The sequence below is a fragment of the Homo sapiens genome, chromosome 17, assembly GCF_000001405.40.
Source record: "Homo sapiens chromosome 17, GRCh38.p14 Primary Assembly".
Classification (NCBI taxonomy): domain Eukaryota; kingdom Metazoa; phylum Chordata; class Mammalia; order Primates; family Hominidae; genus Homo; species Homo sapiens.
This window is the reverse complement of record NC_000017.11, coordinates 28,644,650-28,663,107: the sequence shown is the minus strand read 5'-3', so window position 1 is coordinate 28,663,107 and position 18,458 is coordinate 28,644,650. Positions and strand designations below refer to the sequence as shown.

The window sequence follows — 18,458 nt, the reverse complement described above, 5'->3', positions numbered from 1 at the left end:
TTTTGATATTACAGTGAATTTCCACGGAAGTATTTTCAGAGATCTTAGCCCTCTGAAATAAGTATCAGTTCTTGCAACAACCCAGGAAAATTAACTTCTCCAGCTGGTTCAAAGGAGTGCCTGAGGAGAAAGGTAGAAACTAGAAGATGGAGTTTTGACTTAATAACTAATTTTGATGTTCATGATAGGCCTCTGGCAAACGTTTGAGGAAATGAATCTATAGAGAATGGACGGGCTTTAGGACTTCTACAAGACCTTCGATCTTTAGAAAGGGATGAAGGATGCAACCATCTACAAAAAGTTCTATTTGTATTATTCAGCAATATGTAAAGAGCTGGAATTTGGCATCGCCCTCTAGCCTGATGGCCGAGCTGCTGAAAGCTCCACAGGATTCATATCCCCAGAACAAACAACTCGATCACCTGATCCTGGCTCAGAAGCCCCAGGTCCCTTCCATCCCCAATCCTTTTGCGTGGCCCAGTTTTAAAAACCTGCGGAGAGAAGGACGGGATGCCAGGAAGCCTGTTGATTCAACGTGCCACCCGATTCACGGGTTCCGGGTGTCACTGGGCTGGGAAAAGCTTTCGGACTCTGAGCAACTACAGCGCTTTCCTCCCCCTTCCCCCCATAGAGCAGGGAAGGCCAGGCTCCCCCTTCTTCCCGCATACGGCTCCCCACTGCCTCTTCCCTTACGTGACCAGGCCCTAGGAGCCCGGTTCCCCACCTGACTCCTGCGAGAAACACGCTCTCCAGTCGGAACTTTACCTGTCTGAAGCCCGCCGCTCCTCCAGTGCGCTAAGCCCCCACCGAGGAAAATGGAGTCGTCGAACCGAGACTGGGAAAAGATAGTACGGACCCACCGCACGGCCCCTCCGCCGCCACCGCCGCCGCTGCTGCGTCAACGTGCTACGTCATTTCCGGCTCCCTGTCACCGGGAGTGGGCGGGCCATTTCTTGTTCTCTCTCCCGCTCTCGGAAGCTTTCGTCTCGTGGGTGCGAAAGGTAACCGAAGCGGCTCAGGAAGGCAGCTGTCACTGAGCCCCTGGAACAGAGCGAGAGTATCGTAAGTAACCAGGCTCAGCCGGTTTCTCAGGCCGCTCTAGTCAAATAAACCATAAAGATCAGACTCGGGCTTCTTCACTTCCTTCTCTCCGTGGTTTCGCCATTAGCTTCCGGTTCCGGGGAGGGGCCGAGTTTTCTTCGAAGATTTGGGGCTCCGCGATACAGTTAGGATGGCTGTAGTACCTCTGCTGTTGTTGGGGGGTTTGTGGAGCGCTGTGGGAGCGTCCAGCCTGGGTGTCGTTACTTGCGGCTCCGTGGTGAAGCTACTCAATACGCGCCACAACGTCCGACTGCACTCACACGACGTGCGCTATGGGTCAGGTAATGCTGGGGACCGGGCTCGGGTGGGCTAGGGAGGACTCGGAGGCTCTGGAGGGGCGGGGCCTATAGAATATCTGACAGTGTGGTCTGGGAAAGTTAGGGGTTCCCTGGGAAGGTTCCTCAGGTCTAGAGAGTCGGAGAACTGAATTGTTCTAAGGCATCTTAATCGCAACACCACCTAATATTTGGTGAGCTACAGGCCAGGCACGTTACCTATGTCCTTTTTCCGATTATTAACATTGTTGTAAGGTGGACAGTATTGTTATCCTCATTTCACAGATGAGGAAACAGACGCAGAGAAATTAAATCGTTTATTCAAAGCCTTGCAGTTAGCAAATGACAAAGTCGGGGTTCTATCCAAATCTATCCAGGTTCAAAGCCTGCTTTAGAGACAAGAAAATTACAGTAAGTGCTGTGTCTGAAATTTTAAAGTTACAGTAAGTACTGTCTGTGAAACTTTAAACTCCAAGAGCTCACTCGTTGACTACAACCCTTTGTCTTCCAGCTCTTCTGCATCTTACACTTGCTCCTCAGTTTCCATCTTTGGCCCCCTTCTACCCAAACCTTAACCTCCTTCTTGTAAGAAACTTGGAGCAGTGACAGGAATTGCAGAGAAAACTGCTTTTTTTTTTTTTTTTTTTTAGCGTTTGAAATTAAAATGTTTAGTAATAAATTATTTGTGGATTCATTCAGCATAGGTCTTAATGAGTTCCTACTACATGGCTAGAATTGTACTACATACAGGAGATTCGGTGGTGATAATCAGTCAAGAAAATTACAATATAATAAAAACAGACTAAAAAAAGAAAGTCTTATCTGCCTGAAAAAAAAAGATAAAGTTAAAAAAAAAGAATGAAGGTCAGCTAGTGAGATGTGAGAGGCATCTAAGATAGCTGGTAGATTTTTGTCTTGAATGACTGATGATGCTGTTTGCTGAGGGAGGAAAGAGTTCTGTCAGGTGGGCTAGTCTGGTTCATGATTCCCAAAACCCATCTGATCAGTCAGACTAGGCAAGGACATGAGTTATCATCACTGCGATGTCTTAATAATTCTAGCACCCATTCAGTGAACACCTACCATGTTGTCAGGCTTATTTTTTACTTTGTTTTGGTTTCCTACTTTGGATCTACTGAATTAGAGTGGAGGTGGACAGAGGCTTGGCAGTAGCAATCTGTAGGTTTAAAAAGCTCTTCAGGTGGTTCTGATGGACAGCCAGATTTGGGAACCAGGTTCAGTCCGGAGCTCAGAAAAGGGATCTGTGCTGAGCCTGAGATACAACATTAAATATAACATCTTGTACAGACTGTGGTTGAAGATGTCAGGGTTGTAGATGAAATTGCCCAGAATGAACTGTGATTCTCTATCTGGGATTAATTTGAATAACTGGAGAAACTTGTTAAAAATACAAATGCTTTTGTCCTGACCCTCAACAATTGTTTAAGAACTACAGGTAGCCCTCTCCGTCTCCCTCTCTTGTCTCTTCTCTCTTTCCACGGTCTCCCTCTGTTGCCGAGGCTGGACTGTACTGCCGTGATCTCGGCTCGCTGCAACCTCCCTGCCTGGGGCTCCCGTGATTCTCCTGCCACGGCCTGCCGAGTGCCTGGGATTGCAGGCACACGCCGCCATGCCTGACTGGTTTTCGTATTTTTGGTGGAGACGGGGTTTCGCCGTGTTGGCTGGGCTGGTCTCCAGCTCCTGACCTCGAGTGATCTGCCTGCCTCAGCCTCCCGAGGTGCTGGGATTGCAGATGGAGTCTTGCTCACTCAGTGCTCAGTGTTGCCCAGGCTGGAGTGCAGTGGTGTGATCTTGGCTCACTACAACTTCCACCTCCCAGCCGCCTGCCTTGGCCTCCCAAAGTGCTAAGAGTACAGCCTCTGCCCGGCCGCCACCCCGTCTAGGAAGTGAGGAGCGTCTCTGCCTGGCCGCCCATCGTCTGGGATGTGAGGAGCGCCTCTGCCTGGCCGCCCCGTCTGGGATATGAGGAGGGCCTCTGCCCGGCCGCCACCCCGTCTGGGAAGTGAGGAGCACCTCTGCCCGGCCATCACCCTGTCTGGGATGTGAGGAGCGTCTCTGCCTGGCCGCCCTGTCTAGGAAGTGAGGAGCGCCTCTGCCTGGCCGCCCCGTCTGGGAAGTGAGGAGCGCCTCTGCCCGGCCGCGCCATCTGGGATGTGAGGAGTGCCTTTGCCCGGCTGCCACCCCATCTGGGAAGTGGGCTGCCCATTATCTGGGAGGTGAGGAGCACCTCTGCCCGGCCACCCCATCTGGGAAGTGGGGAGCACCTGGCCGCCCTGTCTGGGATGTGAGGAGCGCCTCTGCCCGGCCGCCACCCCATCTGGGAAGTGGGGAGCGCCTCTGCCCGGCTGCCCCGTCTGGGAAGTGGGGAGCGCCTCTGCCCGGCCGCCCTGTCTGGGAAGTGGGGAGCGCCTCTGCCCGGCTGCCCCGTCTGGGAAGTGGGGAGCGCCTCTGCCCAGCCGCCCCGTCTGGGAAGTGGGGAGCGCCTCTGCCTGGCCGCCACCCCGTCTGGGATGTGAGGAGCGCCTCTGCCCGGCCGCCACCCTGTCTGGGAAGTGAGGAGCGCCTCTGCCCGGCCGCCCATTGTCTGGGATGTGAGGAGCGCCTCTGCCCGGCCGCCCTTCGTCTGGGAGTTGAGGAGCACCTCTGCCTGGCTGTCCCATCTAGGAAGTGAGGAGCGCCTCTGCACGGCCGCCCCGTCTGGGAGGGGAGGAGCGCCTCTGTCCGGCCTCCCATCGTCTGGGATGTGAGGAGCGCCTCTGCCCGGCCACCCAGTCTGTTAAGTGAGGAGCTCCTCTGCCCGGCCACCCTGTCTGGGAAGTGAGGAGTGCCTCTGCCCGGCCGCCCCGTCTGGGAAGTGAGGAGCGCCTCTGCCTGGCCGCTGTGCAGTCTTCCAAGTGTGAAGTGACAGCCTTTCTGCAGGTGTACCCAACAGCACCGAAGAGACAGCGACCATCGAGAATGGGCCATGATGACGATGGCGGTTTTGTCGAAAAGAAAAGGGGGAAATGTGGGGAAAAGAAAGAGAGATCAGATTGTTACTGTGTCTGTGTAGAAAGAAGTAGACATAGGAGACTCCATTTTGTTCTGTACTAAGAAAAATTCTTCAGCTTTGGGATGCTGTTAATCTATAACCTTACCCCCAACCCCGTGCTCTCTGAAACGTGTGCTGTGTCAACTCAGGGTTAAATGGATTAAGGGTGGTGCAAGATGTGCTTTGTTAAACAGATACTTGAAGGCAGCATGCTCGTTAAGAGTCATCACCACTCCCTAATCTCAAGTACCCAGGGACACAAACACTGCGGAAGGCCGCAGGGACCTCTGCCTAGGAAAACCAGAGACCTTTGTTCACATGTTTATCTGCTGACCTTCTCTCCACTATTATCCTGTGACCCTGCCACATCCCCCTCTCCGAGAAACACCCAAGAATGAACAATAAATACTAAAAAAAAAAAAAAAAACTACAGGTAGAAACAGATGAAGGCCAGGCATAGAACTTTGGATAATCCCAAGGTATAAGGATTTGGAGGAAGAAGTGAACGGTTGAATAGAAAGCAGAAAATGTAGGAGACAAAATGTAGACCATGGTTTAGTGAAGCGTGGCTGTGAGGACCCAGAGAGCTGTAAGGCAGTAACCAGAAGTAGGAAGGGAGACTTGGTTTGCCTTTTCTGAAAAAAGATATAATAAAGTCATGAAAGGAGCTGATAGTTGGCTACATTTACCCGTGTAACTGGCAGTGACACAATTACGACTCATTGCAGCCTTGACCTCCTGGGCTCAAGCAATCCTCACATCTCAGCGTCCTGAGTAGCTGGGACTACAAGTGCACCCCACCACACCTGATTAATTTTTTGCATCTTTTGTAGAGATGGAGTTTTGTCAGTTGCTTAGGCTTGGTCTTGAATTCCTGGGCTCAAGCGATCTGCCCACCTTGACCTCCCAAAGTGCTGGGATTGACGGTGAGCCACTGTGCCCAGCTTCTTTTTTTTCTTTTAAATATAAAAATTTTTTTTTAGGCTGGGTGTGGTGGCTCACATCTGTAATCCTAGCACTTTGGGAGGCTGAGGCAGTTGGATTGCTTGAGCCCAGGAATTCGAGAGTAGCCTGGGCAACATGGCAAAAACCCATCTCTACAAAAAATAGAAAAATTAGCCAGGTGTGGTGGCAGGCGCCTGAAATCCCAGCTACTTGGGAGGCTGAGGTAGGAGGATCACCCGAGCCTGGGAGGTCAAGGCTGTGGCGAGCTGTGATCGTGCCACTGCACTCCAGCCTGAGTGACAAGAGGGATCCTGTATCAAAAAAAAAAAATACATATATATATATGTACGTTTAGAGACTGCATTTTGCTATGTTGCTGAGGCTAGTCTCGAACTCCTGGACTCAAGGGATCCTCCCCTCACCTTCCCAAAGCGCTTGGATTACAGGCATGAGCCACTGTGCCAGACCTCCAAGGATACATTTTTTGTTTTGTTTTTGTTTTTGTTTTGAGACAGAGTCTTGCCCTGCCACCTAGGCTGGAGTGCGGTGGTGTGATCTCGGCTCACTGCAACCTCCGCCTCCCGGATGCAAGCAATTCTTCTGCCTCAGCCTCCCAAGTAGCTGGGATTACAGGCACATGCGACCACGCCCAGCTAATTTTTATATTTTTAGTAGAGACGGGGTTTCACCATATTGGCCAGGCTGGTCTCGAACTCATGACTTTGTGTTCTGCCTGCCTCAGCCTCCCAAAGTGCTGGGATTACAGGCGTGAGCCACCGTGCCTTGCTTAAATAATACGTTTATAATAATTGACCACTTATGGGAGTTGGGAGCTGTAATGGCTGCTTAAAGTTGGCAACATAGTCTCATTTTAATTGTGAAATACAAAAATTTTTATCATAATAGTTAATGAACATGAATAATATTACAAACATGTTAAAATTATGTGATTAGACACATTAGGGGCTATCCAGGCTAGTGTGTATAGGTTACCACTGCCTGTGCCTCAAAAAACTCACATAGATTTGTGCCTTGGATATCCTTTGATGCAAATTCTTAGAATTTTCTGATATGACATACCCTTAAGTATACTTTATCATATAGTAACTAGTATTACGTGGACACAGTTTATTTATTTATTTTTTTTGAGACGGAGTCTGGCTCTGTCATCCAGGCTGGAGGGCAGTGGCGCGATCTTGGCTCATTGCAACCTCCACCTCCCGGGTTCAAGCGATTCTCCCACCTCAGCCTCCCAGATAGCTGGGATTACAGGCTGCCACCACCACACCCAGCTAATTTTTGTATTTTTAGTAAAGATGGGTTTTTGCCATGTTGCCCAGGCTGGTCTTGAATTCCTGGGCTCAAGCAATCCAACTGCCTCAGCCTCCCAAAAAGTGCTAGGATTACAGGTGTGAGCCACCACACCCAGCCTAAAAAATTTTTTTTTTATTTAAAAGAAGAAAAAGGCTGGGCACAGTGGCTCACCATCAATCCCAGCACTTTGGGAGGTCAAGTTTCACTCCCAGAGTGCTGGGATTACAAGCGTGAGCCACCACGCCCAGTATGATTTGTATTTTTTATAAATATTTTAATGTTGTAGAAGAAAAAATATTGCCAAGCATAGCATTTTTCTCCCCACCCCTTCTTACCTGTTTAATGACACGGCACAATATTGGCCATAGGCAAGAAGGGTGAGGCTGAGCTCACTTGCTGTTTTTTTTTTTGAGGAATGGGTACCAAATTTATTTGTTAATTTCTTGCATTTGAAGTACACAGTCACATCCTTGGCCTGAAATTCTTTGCTGTAGCCCTTCACTGTGACACAACTGCAACCAACCACTTTACAAAGTTTTCCTTGTCTATCAGTTTTACAAAGGCTTAGCCATGTCTCTGGTTTCTTAAGGTCATCAACCTTAATTGGGTTGATTTGGTGTTCGGCACAAAGGGCCACCCCTAGCTTGACATACATAGGCTCTTCACATTTGGATGCAAGCACGCAAAGATGGGCTTGGCCCTTGTCTAAGGCTTTGGCAGCTTTGCAGGTTCCACCTGCTAGGCCATCATGGCTGAGGGCGGTCTTCAGTCTCTTGTAGAGCAGTATTAATATCCATTACACCTCCAGCAGCGTGTCTTCCTTGGTCATGGTGGTGGGTTACAGGTGAAGGTGAATCTTGAGCGCACTCAAGCTTCTGTCTCTGAGCATGTTGTCCATGGCAGAGAAAGAGAGTTGCCTTTCTTTTCTTAACTGCAGGTAGTGGGCAGCAGTCAGTGACAGGTGTAACCTCTGTGGATGACAGCAACAGTTACTGGAGGATACGGGGGAAGAGTGCCACAGTGTGTGAGAGGGGAACCCCCATCAAGTGTGGCCAGCCCATCCGGCTGACACATGTCAACACTGGCCGAAACCTCCATAGTCACCACTTCACTTCACCTCTTTCTGGAAACCAGGTGAGGTGGCTTTCGATGGATTGTTGCTGCTCTGCATTACTCAGTGGGTGCTTGTTTGATCTCTTGGTTCTTAAATGTTTCTTTTCTAGGTGTAGATGTTCTCTTTTGTGCAGACCTGGGGAAATGGCTCTATTTTTGTGTGGGTTTTTGTTGTTTTTGAGACGCAGTCTCACTCTGTCACCCAGGCTGCAGTGCAGTGGCATGATCTTGGCTCACTGCAACCTCCGCCTCTGGGTTCAAGCAAGTCTCCTGCCTCAGTCTCCCAAGTAGCTGGGATTACAGGCGCATGCCACCATGCCTGGCTAATTTTTGTTTTTATTTTTATTTTTTTGAGATGGAGTCTCACTCTGTCACCCAGGCTGGAGTGCAATGGCATGGTCTCAGCTCATTGCAACCTCTGCCTCCTGCGTTCAAGCGGTTCTCCCACCTCAGCTGCCCGAGTGGCTGGGACTACAGGCGTGTGCCACCACACCTGGCTAATTTTTTTTTTTGTATTTTTAGTAGAGATGGGGTTTCACTGTGTTGGCCAGGCTGGTCTCGAACTCCTGACCTTGTGATCTGCCCACTTCGGCCTCCCAAAGTGCTGGGATTACAAGTGCAAGTCACCGCGCCTGGCCTGATTTTTGTATTTTTAGTAGAGATGGGTTTTCACCATATTGGTCAGGCTGGTCTCGAACTCCTGACCTCAGGTGATCCACCCGCCTCTGCCTCCTGGAAGTGTTGGGATTATAGGCATGAGCCACTGCACCCAGCCGGCTTTGTTTTATAAGTGTGAAGAAAATTGTTTCTGGTCAAAGTGGAGACAACAACTAAACCAAATCAAGAAATGGGAAGGACAGACAGACTGGGTATACATCAGCATATCATAAGTTCTGATATTCTGCAATAAAGAAACCCAATGTTTTCCAACTTGCAGTGTTTTTTTTTTTTTTAATGATGCTAACTAGTTACATTAGGAAAATAGATTTGCTTTTGTGTCACTGTTTTTTGTTTTTAAACAGGGTCTTGCTCTGTCACCCAGGTTGTAGTGTGATCTTGCTCACTGCAGCCTCAGCCTCCTGGGCTCAAGCAATTCTCCCACCTCAGCCCTCACTACAGGCTCACGCCACCATGCCTGGCTAATTTTTGTATTTTTTTTGGTAGATACGGGGTTTTGCCATGTTGCCTAGGCTGGTCTCAAACTCCTGAGCTCAAGCTATCTGCCTGCCTCAGCCTCCCAAAGTGCTGGGATTACAAGCATAAGCCAGTACACCCAGCCTTGTGCCACTGTTTTAAGCCTTGAGTTGTCAGGGGATGTGGACACCTTAATGACTCCTTCCCTGTCCCCAGCCCCTGTATGCAGTTTTCCCTATTAATATCTTACCTTCGAAGGGTAAATTTGCTATATTTAATGAAGCAATATTGATACAGTTTTATTAACTAAAGACCATAGTTTTTTTCTGATTCCCTTGTTTTGTTTTGTTTTGTTTTGTTTTTTGAGACAGAGTCTCGCTCTGTCCCAGGCTGGAGTGCTATGGCGCGATCTCAGCTCACTGCAACCTCCGCCTCCCAGGTTCAAGCTATTCTCTTGCCACAGCCTCCTGAGTAGCTGGGATTACAGGTGCCTGCCACCACGCCCGGCTGATTTTTGTATTTTCAGTAGAGACGGGGTTTCACCATGTTGTCCAGGTTGGTCTCGAGCTCCTGACCTTGTGATCCACCCACCTTGGCCTCCCAAACTGCTGGGATTACAGGCGTGAGGCCTCCGTGCCCGGTCCCTTAGTTTTTACCTAATGTTCTTTTTCCATTCCAAAATACCACATTACATATACTTGCCATGTCTCATTAGGCTGTTCTTGGCTGTGACAGTTTTTCAGGCTTCCCTAGTTTTTGATGACCTTGACAGCTTTGAGGAGTGCTGGTCAGGTGTATTGTAGATTGCCCCTCTGTTGGAATTTGTTTTTCTTGTGATTAGACCGGACTTATAAAGGGTTTGGGAGGAAGATCACAGAGGTAAAGTGCCATTTGTATCCCATCATATCAGGGGTACATACTATCTTTATGATTTATGACTGTTGATGTGGACCTTGATTACCTGGCTGAAGTAGTGTTTGTTCGTTAGGTTTCTCCTGTAAAGTTATTCTTTTCATTTTCCCCCTTTCCATGCACTTTTTGGAAGAAAGTCACTATGTGCATTTCACTCTTACAGACTGGAGAGTTATACTCTGTCTACATTAGGGTGGAATATCTACATATTTTATTTGGGATTTTTCCATATTGGGGATTTGTCTCTTTTCCCCAATTTATTTATTTATTCAGTTATTTACATTAGTATAAACTTATGGATAGTTTATACTTCGTTATAATCTAATGCTACTATATTTTGTTGCTCAAATTGTTCCAACTTTGGCCATTGGGAATTCTTTCAGCTGGCTTTGTGTCCATTGGCAGTATCCCATTGTGTTTTTGTGTATATGTGCCTGCACTTTAAAGCACTTCTTTCCTTTCTGGCACCAAAAGATGCTCCAGGCTCATCTTGTTTATTTCTTGCTCCAGTACTAGAATCAGCTGTTTCTCCAAGGAGCTCTGCTTCCTTTTATTGGAGAATGATATTAAAACCAAGTTCTAGGCCTTATGTAAGCTTGTTGCTACTGGAGTGTTTCTTTTAGGCCCTCTCACTTGACAGAATAAATAACTGTAAGCCAGGCGCAGTGGCTCACACCTATAATCCCGGCACTTTGTGAGGCAGAGGTGGGTGGATCACAAGGTCAGGAGTTCGAGACCAGCCTGGCTAACATGGTGAAACCCCGTATCTACTAAAGTACAAAAATTAGCTGGGCATGGTGGCGGGAGCCTGTGATCCCAGCTACTTGGGAGGCCGAGGTAGGAGAATCGTTTGAACCTGGGAGGCGGAGGTTGCAGTGAGCCGAGATTGCACCATTGCATTCCAGCCTGGGTGACAGGGCGAGACTCTGTCTCAAAAAAAAATTAAAAAAATAAAGAATTGTTACCTGTGTGTGCTTACTCGTGTATATATTACATATCTATAAATTTTTATTTGCATAGCCATCTGTATCTACATATATTAAGTTAAATGAGCTTTCTTTTTCTTTTTCTTTTTTTTTTAAGATGGGTTCTTGCTGTGTTATTCAGGCTGGAGTGCAGTGGCTACTCACAGGTGTGATGATAGTGCACTAGAGCCTCGAACTCCTTGGCTCAAGCAGTCCTCTTGCGTCAGCCTTCCAAGTAGCTGGGGATACAGGCATGCCCCACTGTGCCTGGCTAGTGTTCTTATTGATGTCTTTAGCTGTAATCCATTACCACATAGATCGTCCTAGCCTCCTCCCTGTGCTAATTTGTAAATTCCCACTCCAACAGTAAGATACCTTGTTCCTACCATCTGCCATCCATGTATTGAACTTCAGTTCAGTTCCAGTATACAAATATAGCAGTATCAGAATTACATACTGGTACCCTCCTGGGAACAATTTTATCAAGTAGAGTGTACACACACACACACACACACACTTCTGAAATAATCAGTAATTTTTTAATTGCCATCGTATAGAAACTGAATATTTGGCCTTAAGGAAGATGGGATTTAGATGAGGAGTAGAATATAGAGAACTTGCTTTCTCTCTCACTGCCTTATTAGAAAGAAAGAAAAGAATGTAGAAAACTTGCTATGTTTTGCTCAGTTAATATTTGCTATCTCATTTAATTCTCACAGTTGCTCTGTAAGGTGATATTGTGATCATTTTATAGAGGAGAAAACAAAGGCTCAAAGGATTTACAGAAGAAGGGATCAAGTTGAGATTCAAGGTCAGCCTGACTCCCAGAGTCCATTCCCTTTTGAACTTGTCATCAGGTCATTTAAAATCTAGTTAAGAGAATGAAGCAGTAATATTTAAAGTCAAATAACAAGAGATATAAAGTATTTTAAGGGCAGAATGTGGTGGCTCATGCCTGTACTCCCAGCACTTTACTACGCTGAGGTAGGTGGATCACTTGAGGCTGGGAGTTTGAGACCAGCCTGGTCAACATGGTGAAACCCCCATCTCTATTAAAAAATACCAAAATTAGCTGGGTGTGGTAGCACATGCCTGTAATCCCAGCTATTCTGGAGGCTGAGGCATGAGAACCCAAGAGGTGGAGGTTGCAGAGAGCCGAGATTGTGCCATTGCACTCCAGCCTGGGCGACAGAGCGAGATGCTGTCTCAAAAAAGTAAAGTATTTTAAAGCCAGCACGGTGGCTCACACCTGTAATCCCAGCACCCTAAAAGACCAAGTGGGGAGAATCGTTTAAGTCCAGGAGTTAGAGGCCAGCCAAGGCAACACAGTTGCCTACCAAAAAACTTTTAATTACCTGGGTGTGGTGGTATATGCCTGTTGTCTTAGCTACTCAGGAGGTGAGGCCATAAGACCACTTGAGGCACTGCACTCCAGCCTGGGCAACAGAGCAAGATACCCTAACTGTTTTTTTTTTTTTTTTTTTTTTTTTTTTGAGACAAAGTCTCACTCTTGTCATCCAGGCTGGAGTCCAGTGGTGCAATCTCGGCTCACTGCAACCTTCGGCTCACGGCAACCTCCGCCTCCCAGGTTCAAGCGATTCTCCTGCTTCAGCCTCCCGAATAGCTGGGATTACAGGCGCCTGCCACCACACCTGGCTAATTTTTGTATTTTTAGTAGAGATGGGGTTTTACCATGTTGGCCAGGCTGGTCTTGAACTCCTGACCTCAGGCGATCTGCCCGCCTCGCCCTCCCAAATTACTGGGATTACAGGCATGAGCTACCGTACCTGGCCACAATCCCAACTCTTAAAAAGAAAAAAAAAAGAAATTCTGTTTTAACACTGTAATAGAAAATATAAGGCAATTATAGTATTAATTGCAAAATAAGTGTTTGGACCATAATCTTTTTTTTTTCCTTTCTTTTTGATGCCATGACTCAGATAAGAACCATGGACCATAATCTTATAGCAATGAATTTTTTTCCTCCTATGTCCTTTATGTCTTTCGTCTTTTTCCATGGTTCATGGTTTAAACAACACTGGAGTGGCCGGGCACGGTGGCTCATGCCTGTAATCCCAGCACTTTGGGAGGCTGAGGCGGGAGGATCACCTGAGGTTGGGAATTCGAAACCAGCCTGACCAACATGGAGAAACCCTGTCTCTACTAAAAATACAAAATTAGCCGGGCATGGTGGCACATGCCTGTAATCCCAGCTACTAGGGAGGCTGAGGCAGGAAAATCACTTGAACCTGGGAGGCGGAGGTTGTGGTGAGCCGAGATTGCGCCATTGCACTCCAGCCTGGGCAACAAGAGCGATACTCTGTCTCAAAATAAATAAATAAATAAATAAATAAAATAACAACACTGGAAAGCAGCTGAATTTTTTTTTTTTTTTTGAGATGGGGTCTTGCTCTGTAATCCAAGCTGGAGTGCAGTGGTATGATCACAGCTCATTGCAGCCTTGATCCCCTGGACTTAGGTGATAGCTGTAGTAGCTGGGTACCATAGGCATGTGCCACCATGCCCAGCTAATTTCTTTTTTTTTTTTCTTTTTTTTTTTTTGAGACAGAGTTTTGCTCTTGTTGCCCAGGCTGGAGTGCAATGGTGTGATCTCGGCTCACCGCAACCTCCGCCTCCCGGGTTCAAGCGATTCTCCTGCCTCAGCCTCCCGAGTAGCTGGGATTACAGGCATGTGCCACCACACCCAGCTAATTTTGTATTTTTAGTAGAGACAGGGTTTCTCCATGTCGGTCAGGCTGGTCTTGAACTCCTGACCTCAGCTAATTTCTTTTGTATTTTTTTTAGGGATAGCGTTTCACCATGTTGCCCAGGCTGGTCTCAAACTCTTGGGCTCAAGTGATCTGCCCTGCTCAGCTTCCCAAAGTGGTAGGATTACAGGCATAAGCCTGGCCCCTCTGATTTTTTACTTCAAGGTGGCCTTCTTTTTCTTCCCATTGCCTCCCACCCCTTTTCAAGCCCTTGTCAGCCATGCTGATGTTACTACCTTCTGTATTTTCTAGGAAGTGAGTGCTTTTGGTGAGGAAGGTGAAGGTGATTATCTGGATGACTGGACAGTGCTCTGTAATGGACCCTACTGGGTGAGAGATGGTGAGGTGCGGTTCAAACACTCTTCCACTGAGGTACTGCTGTCTGTCACAGGAGAACAATATGGTCGACCTATCAGTGGGCAAAAAGAGGTGCATGGCATGGCCCAGCCAAGTCAGAACAACTACTGGAAAGCCATGGAAGGCATCTTCATGAAGCCCAGTGAGTTGTTGAAGGCAGAAGCCCACCATGCAGAGCTGTGAATCTAGAGGCTCTGAGCCACTGTTAACGCACAATGTTCACAGACATCTGTTGCTGCCTCACCTTGGGATCCCTGCCACAAGTTCCTTGGGCAGTGGCCATGTCACCATTGAGATGAAGATATACAACAGAAAATAGTGGCTGTGTTTGGAAGCTTCAGCCCTGCACATTTGAACTAGTCACTCTCCCAGACTTGCGTGGGTCAGTTCTTTCTGAGTAGAGGACTTGCTGGTAAAGGGGCAGATGCTTTTTATTAGTACTGATAAAACAAACTGAGGGAAACATCCCTCTTAGCTGGGAAACTTTTACTCTTCAGGAGCTTGGCATCATGGACTGTTAATGTATGTGATTTTCCCCCTATTTTCTCTCTCCAAAATGATAAAAACAATAATTTTATTATGAGTCACTGTGTTGTTATTTATTAGGTGTGCTATTTCATTAGCTGCTTAATCCTTTGAGTCCTAAGACTCTTTGGAGACGCTATGAAGCTCCAATGTGGGCCCTTTTAAGAGCTTTTCTTGCATACAAACCTTTTCTCCCTCTACTTTGACTTCTCTCCAGGCATCTCATCTTTAATAGATCTTTGACTAATTATAGCTAAAAACTCTCAGAGAATACAGCATAATAAATAGCCAGTGAAATGTTTGCTTTGTATCTGTTACTGCAGATGAGAAAAAGGTGTAGGGGTAGAAAGAACGAACCAGTATTTATTCACTGCTAAATACTAGGTACCATATTATAGATCTTTTTTTTTATTTATTGTTTTTTAGACAGAGTCTCGGTCTGTCGCCCAGGCTGGAGTGCAGTGGCGCGATCTCGGCTCACTGCAAGTTCCACCTCCTGGGTTCACAACCATCCTCCTGCCTCAGCCTCCCAAGTAGCCGGTGCTACAGGCACCCGCCACCACGCCAGGGTAATTTTTTTGTATTTTTAGTAGAGACAGGGTTTCACTGTATTAACTAGGATGGTCTCGATCTCCTGACCTCATGATCCGCCCGCCTCAGCCTCCCAAAGTGCTGAGATTACAGGCGTGAGCCACCGCACCCGGCCTATAGATCTTACCTCATTTAATCTTCACAGAATTCATATAGGGTAATACTGCATTTTTATCAGTGCAGCAGTTGAGTAACTGCCTGAATTCTTTTTTTTTTTTTTTTTTGAGACAAGTTCTTTGCTCTGTCACCTAGGTGGGAGGGGCACAATCATGGCTTATTACAGCCTTGACCTCCTGGGCTCAAGTTGATCCTCCTGTGTCAGTTTTTGATTTATCGTAGAGATGAGGTCTCACTATGTTACCCAGGCTGGTCTGGAACTCCTGGGCTCAAGTGATCCTTATGCTGTGTCTTCCCAAAGTGCTGGGGATTACAGGAGTGAGCCACCATGCCTGGCCTACTGCCTGAATTCTTTTTTTTTTTTTTTTAAGATGGAGTCTCACTCTGTCGCCCAGACTGGAGTGCAGTGGTGCAATCTCGGCTCACTGCAACCTCCGCCTCCCAGGTTCAAGTGATTCCCCTGCCTCAGCCTCCTGAGTAGCTGGGACTACAGGCACCCGCCACCACACCTGACTAATTTTTGTATTTTTAGTAGAGATGGGGTTTCACCATATTGGCCAGGCTGGTCTTGAACTCCTGACCTTTTGTGATCCGCCCACCTTGGCCTCCCAAAGTGCTGGGAAAACAGGTGTGAGCCACCGTGCCCGGCCTGAATTCTTAAAACTAATAAATCATTTTGGAATAGGAATCCAGCTGTTTCTGACTCAGGTTTTTTTAAGTGCACTACGATTGTGTTTAGCTTTTGGAAAACAAATCCTGTTTTTTGGACAAACGTAGATATATCTCTCTAAAAAGGTGGATAGAAAACTACTTTTGTCCTCTGCCTACCTGATTTCCTCCTTTCCTGTGTCAATTGCAGAAAATTTGCTCCTGTAGCTTCCAATCATGGTATTGGTGAACGGAGATGGCTGCCATCTGCTGGAATTTCAGTGACTAGCAGGCTTTTTTTATTTTTAGAAACTTCCGGGTTTTGTTCTTTTTTTTTCTATTTGTTTTGTTAATGTTGAACATTTAGAGACACCATTTCTGTGCCAAACATGGCCCGTGACGTTAAAAGACTTGGTCTCTTTTACAAGGGCTTGTGGTCTCAATAAATGGAGGCCATGAATTAGTTGAGCCCCACTGTTGCCTCAACCACCCCCCACCCCCGACTCCCTGCCTTTATTCCACTTCACTTGTGTTGATCCCTTAAGATCTCTCCAGAAAGAAATAGACAAATCATAAAATCAACATTTTAGGCTATGAGATGGCTGGGAGTAGGGCCGGTAATAGTCAAGGGAGAAGGAAGGAAGTGACAGGAATCTTGGTTCAATAAACAGATTGGATAAGATGAACCAGAGTAGGGATACGTGTTGCACGGCACCCCTCCTTGACTTGGACAGAGGTTTTCAGTGAATTGGGCCTTCCCAGAGCATTCGGAGGACATACCCTGGGGGAAGGCTGCAGATGACGAGGAAGATGACGCAAATACAGTGCTTGAGAGGTAAGTATGACCTTGAAACAGCAGCGCTGGAGCTCTTGGGGAGATGTGAAATCACTGAAGAGAGGAATAGATAAGGGAGGAAACAATCAGAGGAGTGAAAGCAACTTCGGGCAACACACAGGTGAAAGATGAAATGGTGTTTTATCTGAGGGAGCCAAAAAGAGAGGCTCTGAGTAAAATCTTGAAGGATATATATGGAGATTAGGACGTGGGAGCGAAGGGGTATGAAAAGAGACATGACCTCCTCCATAATACTTATTTTGAAACCGTCAGGATTTCCTTAGCTTGTGCTGTATCAGTAGATCATCATTCAGATACTGATCCTTAGCACAGTAACGCTGAGGGACCTTTGTCCTGTTCTCTCATTTTACAGAGAAGGAAGCAGGCAAAACTATGTATTGTCTATTTTATGTAATTATGTTTGCTTCCCAGATAAACTACACAGAAGGAAGCAGGCAAAACTGACTATGTATTGTCTACTTTATGTAATTATGTTTGCTTCCCAGATAAACTATTTTTTGCTAAAGGGCAAGAACAATATTCACTACTTCTGCAGTATCTCCTCCTCTCCTCCATCAGGGCCCAGTTCGTGCCATAAGTAGATGGACCAGAACAGTGTTCAAACAGTAAATGAAGTAAAAACTCATTGGCCAGGAACCGTGACACGCGTCTTTAGTCCAAGCTACTCAGGAGGCTGAGGCAGGAGGATCCCTTGAGCCTGCAGGAGTTCGAGACCAGACTGGGCAACGTAGCGAGTCCTTGTCTCAAAGAAAAAAAAAACAAAACCTCATTAGTTTCCTCTGTGGATGGAATGAGGCGAGATTTTTGAGGCCTTTTAATTACCTCCTAGTTTCTGCCTCAGTAATTTTCAAACAGGATCTTGAATAAGATGGGAGTGCTACCACGTCTGACCAGGGGTGTAACTTCCGCAGAACCCTGAGTCCAGGCCTAAGTGGCTAGGCGGACTCCAACTCCCCTCAAAGTGAGCTCCCCGGACCGAAATGAGTCAGCCAGGTCCACCGCCAGCCCAGGTAGTGGGCCCGGACTCCGACCCCCGCGGGTCCCCGAGCCCCGCGGTTCCGGGCACCGTGGTGTGCGCCCGGGGCGTGTTTCAGCTCTTGGTCCGCTCCCCCTCGCCCTCCTCCCGGAACCACGCCCGCTCCTCGCGCACGCAGCCCGTCGGCCCTGCAGCGTCGTAGGACAGGGCGGGACTGGGGTGGGAGGCCGTTGGTTGGCTGGCGGGCTGCGGAAGGCGGGGCTCGTGTGCGCACCAGCGCGTCCTCGCTCAGCGTTGCTCCTGCGCGCGCAGCTGGTCGGCCCGCGGCGGTGCTGCGCGGATCCGGCGTCGGGGCCCGGCATGGCGGGGGCCGGGGCCAAGCCGGGCCGGACCCGGACCTAAATGCCTCTGTTCTTCTCCGCGCTGTTGGTCTTGCTGCTAGTTGCGCTTAGCGCCCTCTTTCTAGGCCGGTGAGGGTTCCCGGCCGCGCCGGCGGCGGCGGCGGCGGCGGGAGGGAGGGGGCGGAGAGGAGGAAGAAAGACTGAGGAGGGGGCGCGCGCCTTACTGAGGCGCGTGAGGCAGAGTGGGTAGGGTGGAGGGAGGGGGCGCGCGGCGAGGGGAGGGATCGTGAGGAGGCGCGTGGCCCGAGCTCCCAGGGATGGGCTGCGAGTTGGGGAGACTGAGGAAGCGGGCGGGGTCTGAGGAAATGCTGAGGCCAGGAACTGAATAGGAGTGTGAGGAAGGGGCCTGGTTCAGTGGCTTCCCTTTCCCCCTCCACCCACCCCTGCATGTCCCTTTCGCCAAGCGCG

At 48.1% G+C, this 18,458-nt stretch overlaps 3 protein-coding genes and 1 pseudogene across 25 annotated transcripts in view, besides 6 other annotated features; 2 read left to right on the top strand and 2 right to left on the bottom strand.

The window, feature by feature from the left end:
• SUPT6H (SPT6 homolog, histone chaperone and transcription elongation factor) overlaps positions 1-903 on the bottom strand; it is a 40,475-nt gene extending 39,572 nt beyond the window's left edge. For 12 of the 13 annotated variants that reach the window (XM_047436604.1, XM_047436601.1, XM_047436599.1 and 9 more), the window contains exon 1: positions 766-903. The gene's annotated coding sequence lies outside the window, so the exon portion shown is untranslated. Of the gene's footprint in view, positions 1-422; positions 492-765 lie in introns of all 13 variants that reach the window. The other variant, XM_047436596.1, reaches the window with a different exon arrangement.
• Positions 113-787: an enhancer, noted in NCBI's record as "H3K27ac hESC enhancer chr17:26989339-26990013 (GRCh37/hg19 assembly coordinates)". NCBI's record gives its function as "activates a minimal SCP1, AML or CMV promoter by ChIP-STARR-seq in primed H9 embryonic stem cells {active_cell/tissue: H9 hESC(primed)}" and the evidence as "EXISTENCE:reporter gene assay evidence [ECO:0000049][PMID:30033119]".
• Positions 113-1,515: a biological region, named in NCBI's record as "MED14-independent group 3 enhancer GRCh37_chr17:26988611-26989810".
• Positions 316-1,515: an enhancer, noted in NCBI's record as "MED14-independent group 3 enhancer chr17:26988611-26989810 (GRCh37/hg19 assembly coordinates)". NCBI's record gives its function as "activates an origin of replication core promoter dependent on BRD2, BRD4, P300/CBP and CDK7 cofactors, and independent of MED14, by STARR-seq in HCT116 cells {active_cell/tissue: HCT116}" and the evidence as "EXISTENCE:reporter gene assay evidence [ECO:0000049][PMID:35650434]".
• Positions 885-954: an enhancer, noted in NCBI's record as "active region_11935". NCBI's record gives its function as "activates an Ori minimal core promoter by ATAC-STARR-seq in GM12878 lymphoblastoid cells {active_cell/tissue: GM12878}" and the evidence as "EXISTENCE:reporter gene assay evidence [ECO:0000049][PMID:35858748]".
• On the top strand, positions 914-14,762 carry SDF2 (stromal cell derived factor 2). 4 transcript variants are annotated; one of them, XM_011525106.3, is made up of 5 exons: positions 914-1,062; positions 1,169-1,382; positions 7,625-7,821; positions 11,566-11,622; positions 13,832-14,762. In XM_011525106.3, exons 2-5 carry the CDS (start codon positions 1,232-1,234, stop codon positions 14,117-14,119), a joined length of 693 nt encoding a protein of 230 aa, XP_011523408.1. In that variant the 5' UTR covers positions 914-1,062; positions 1,169-1,231; the 3' UTR covers positions 14,120-14,762. The 4 variants fall into 4 exon arrangements, 3 of the variants coding, with proteins under 3 accessions (XP_011523408.1, XP_047292472.1, NP_008854.2); XM_047436516.1 differs by lacking the exon at positions 11,566-11,622; NR_045585.2 differs by lacking the exons at positions 1,169-1,382; positions 11,566-11,622.
• On the bottom strand, positions 7,127-7,499 carry RPS12P28 (ribosomal protein S12 pseudogene 28; annotated as a pseudogene).
• Positions 17,564-17,793: a silencer, noted in NCBI's record as "silent region_8347". NCBI's record gives its function as "represses an Ori minimal core promoter by ATAC-STARR-seq in GM12878 lymphoblastoid cells {active_cell/tissue: GM12878}" and the evidence as "EXISTENCE:reporter gene assay evidence [ECO:0000049][PMID:35858748]".
• Positions 17,814-18,153: a silencer, noted in NCBI's record as "silent region_8346". NCBI's record gives its function as "represses an Ori minimal core promoter by ATAC-STARR-seq in GM12878 lymphoblastoid cells {active_cell/tissue: GM12878}" and the evidence as "EXISTENCE:reporter gene assay evidence [ECO:0000049][PMID:35858748]".
• BLTP2 (bridge-like lipid transfer protein family member 2) overlaps positions 17,949-18,458 on the top strand; it is a 30,720-nt gene continuing 30,210 nt past the window's right edge. For 5 of the 8 annotated variants that reach the window (NM_001363826.1, NM_001363827.1, NM_001363828.1 and 2 more), the window contains exon 1: positions 17,949-18,119. Coding sequence is in view for 4 of the 8 variants with exons in the window: in XM_047437146.1 (XP_047293102.1) it covers positions 18,052-18,119 (68 nt within the window). In the remaining 4 variants the exon portion in view is untranslated. The remainder of the gene's footprint in view (positions 18,120-18,458) is intronic. The other 3 variants (NM_001321560.2, NM_014680.5, NM_001321561.2) reach the window with 1 other exon arrangement.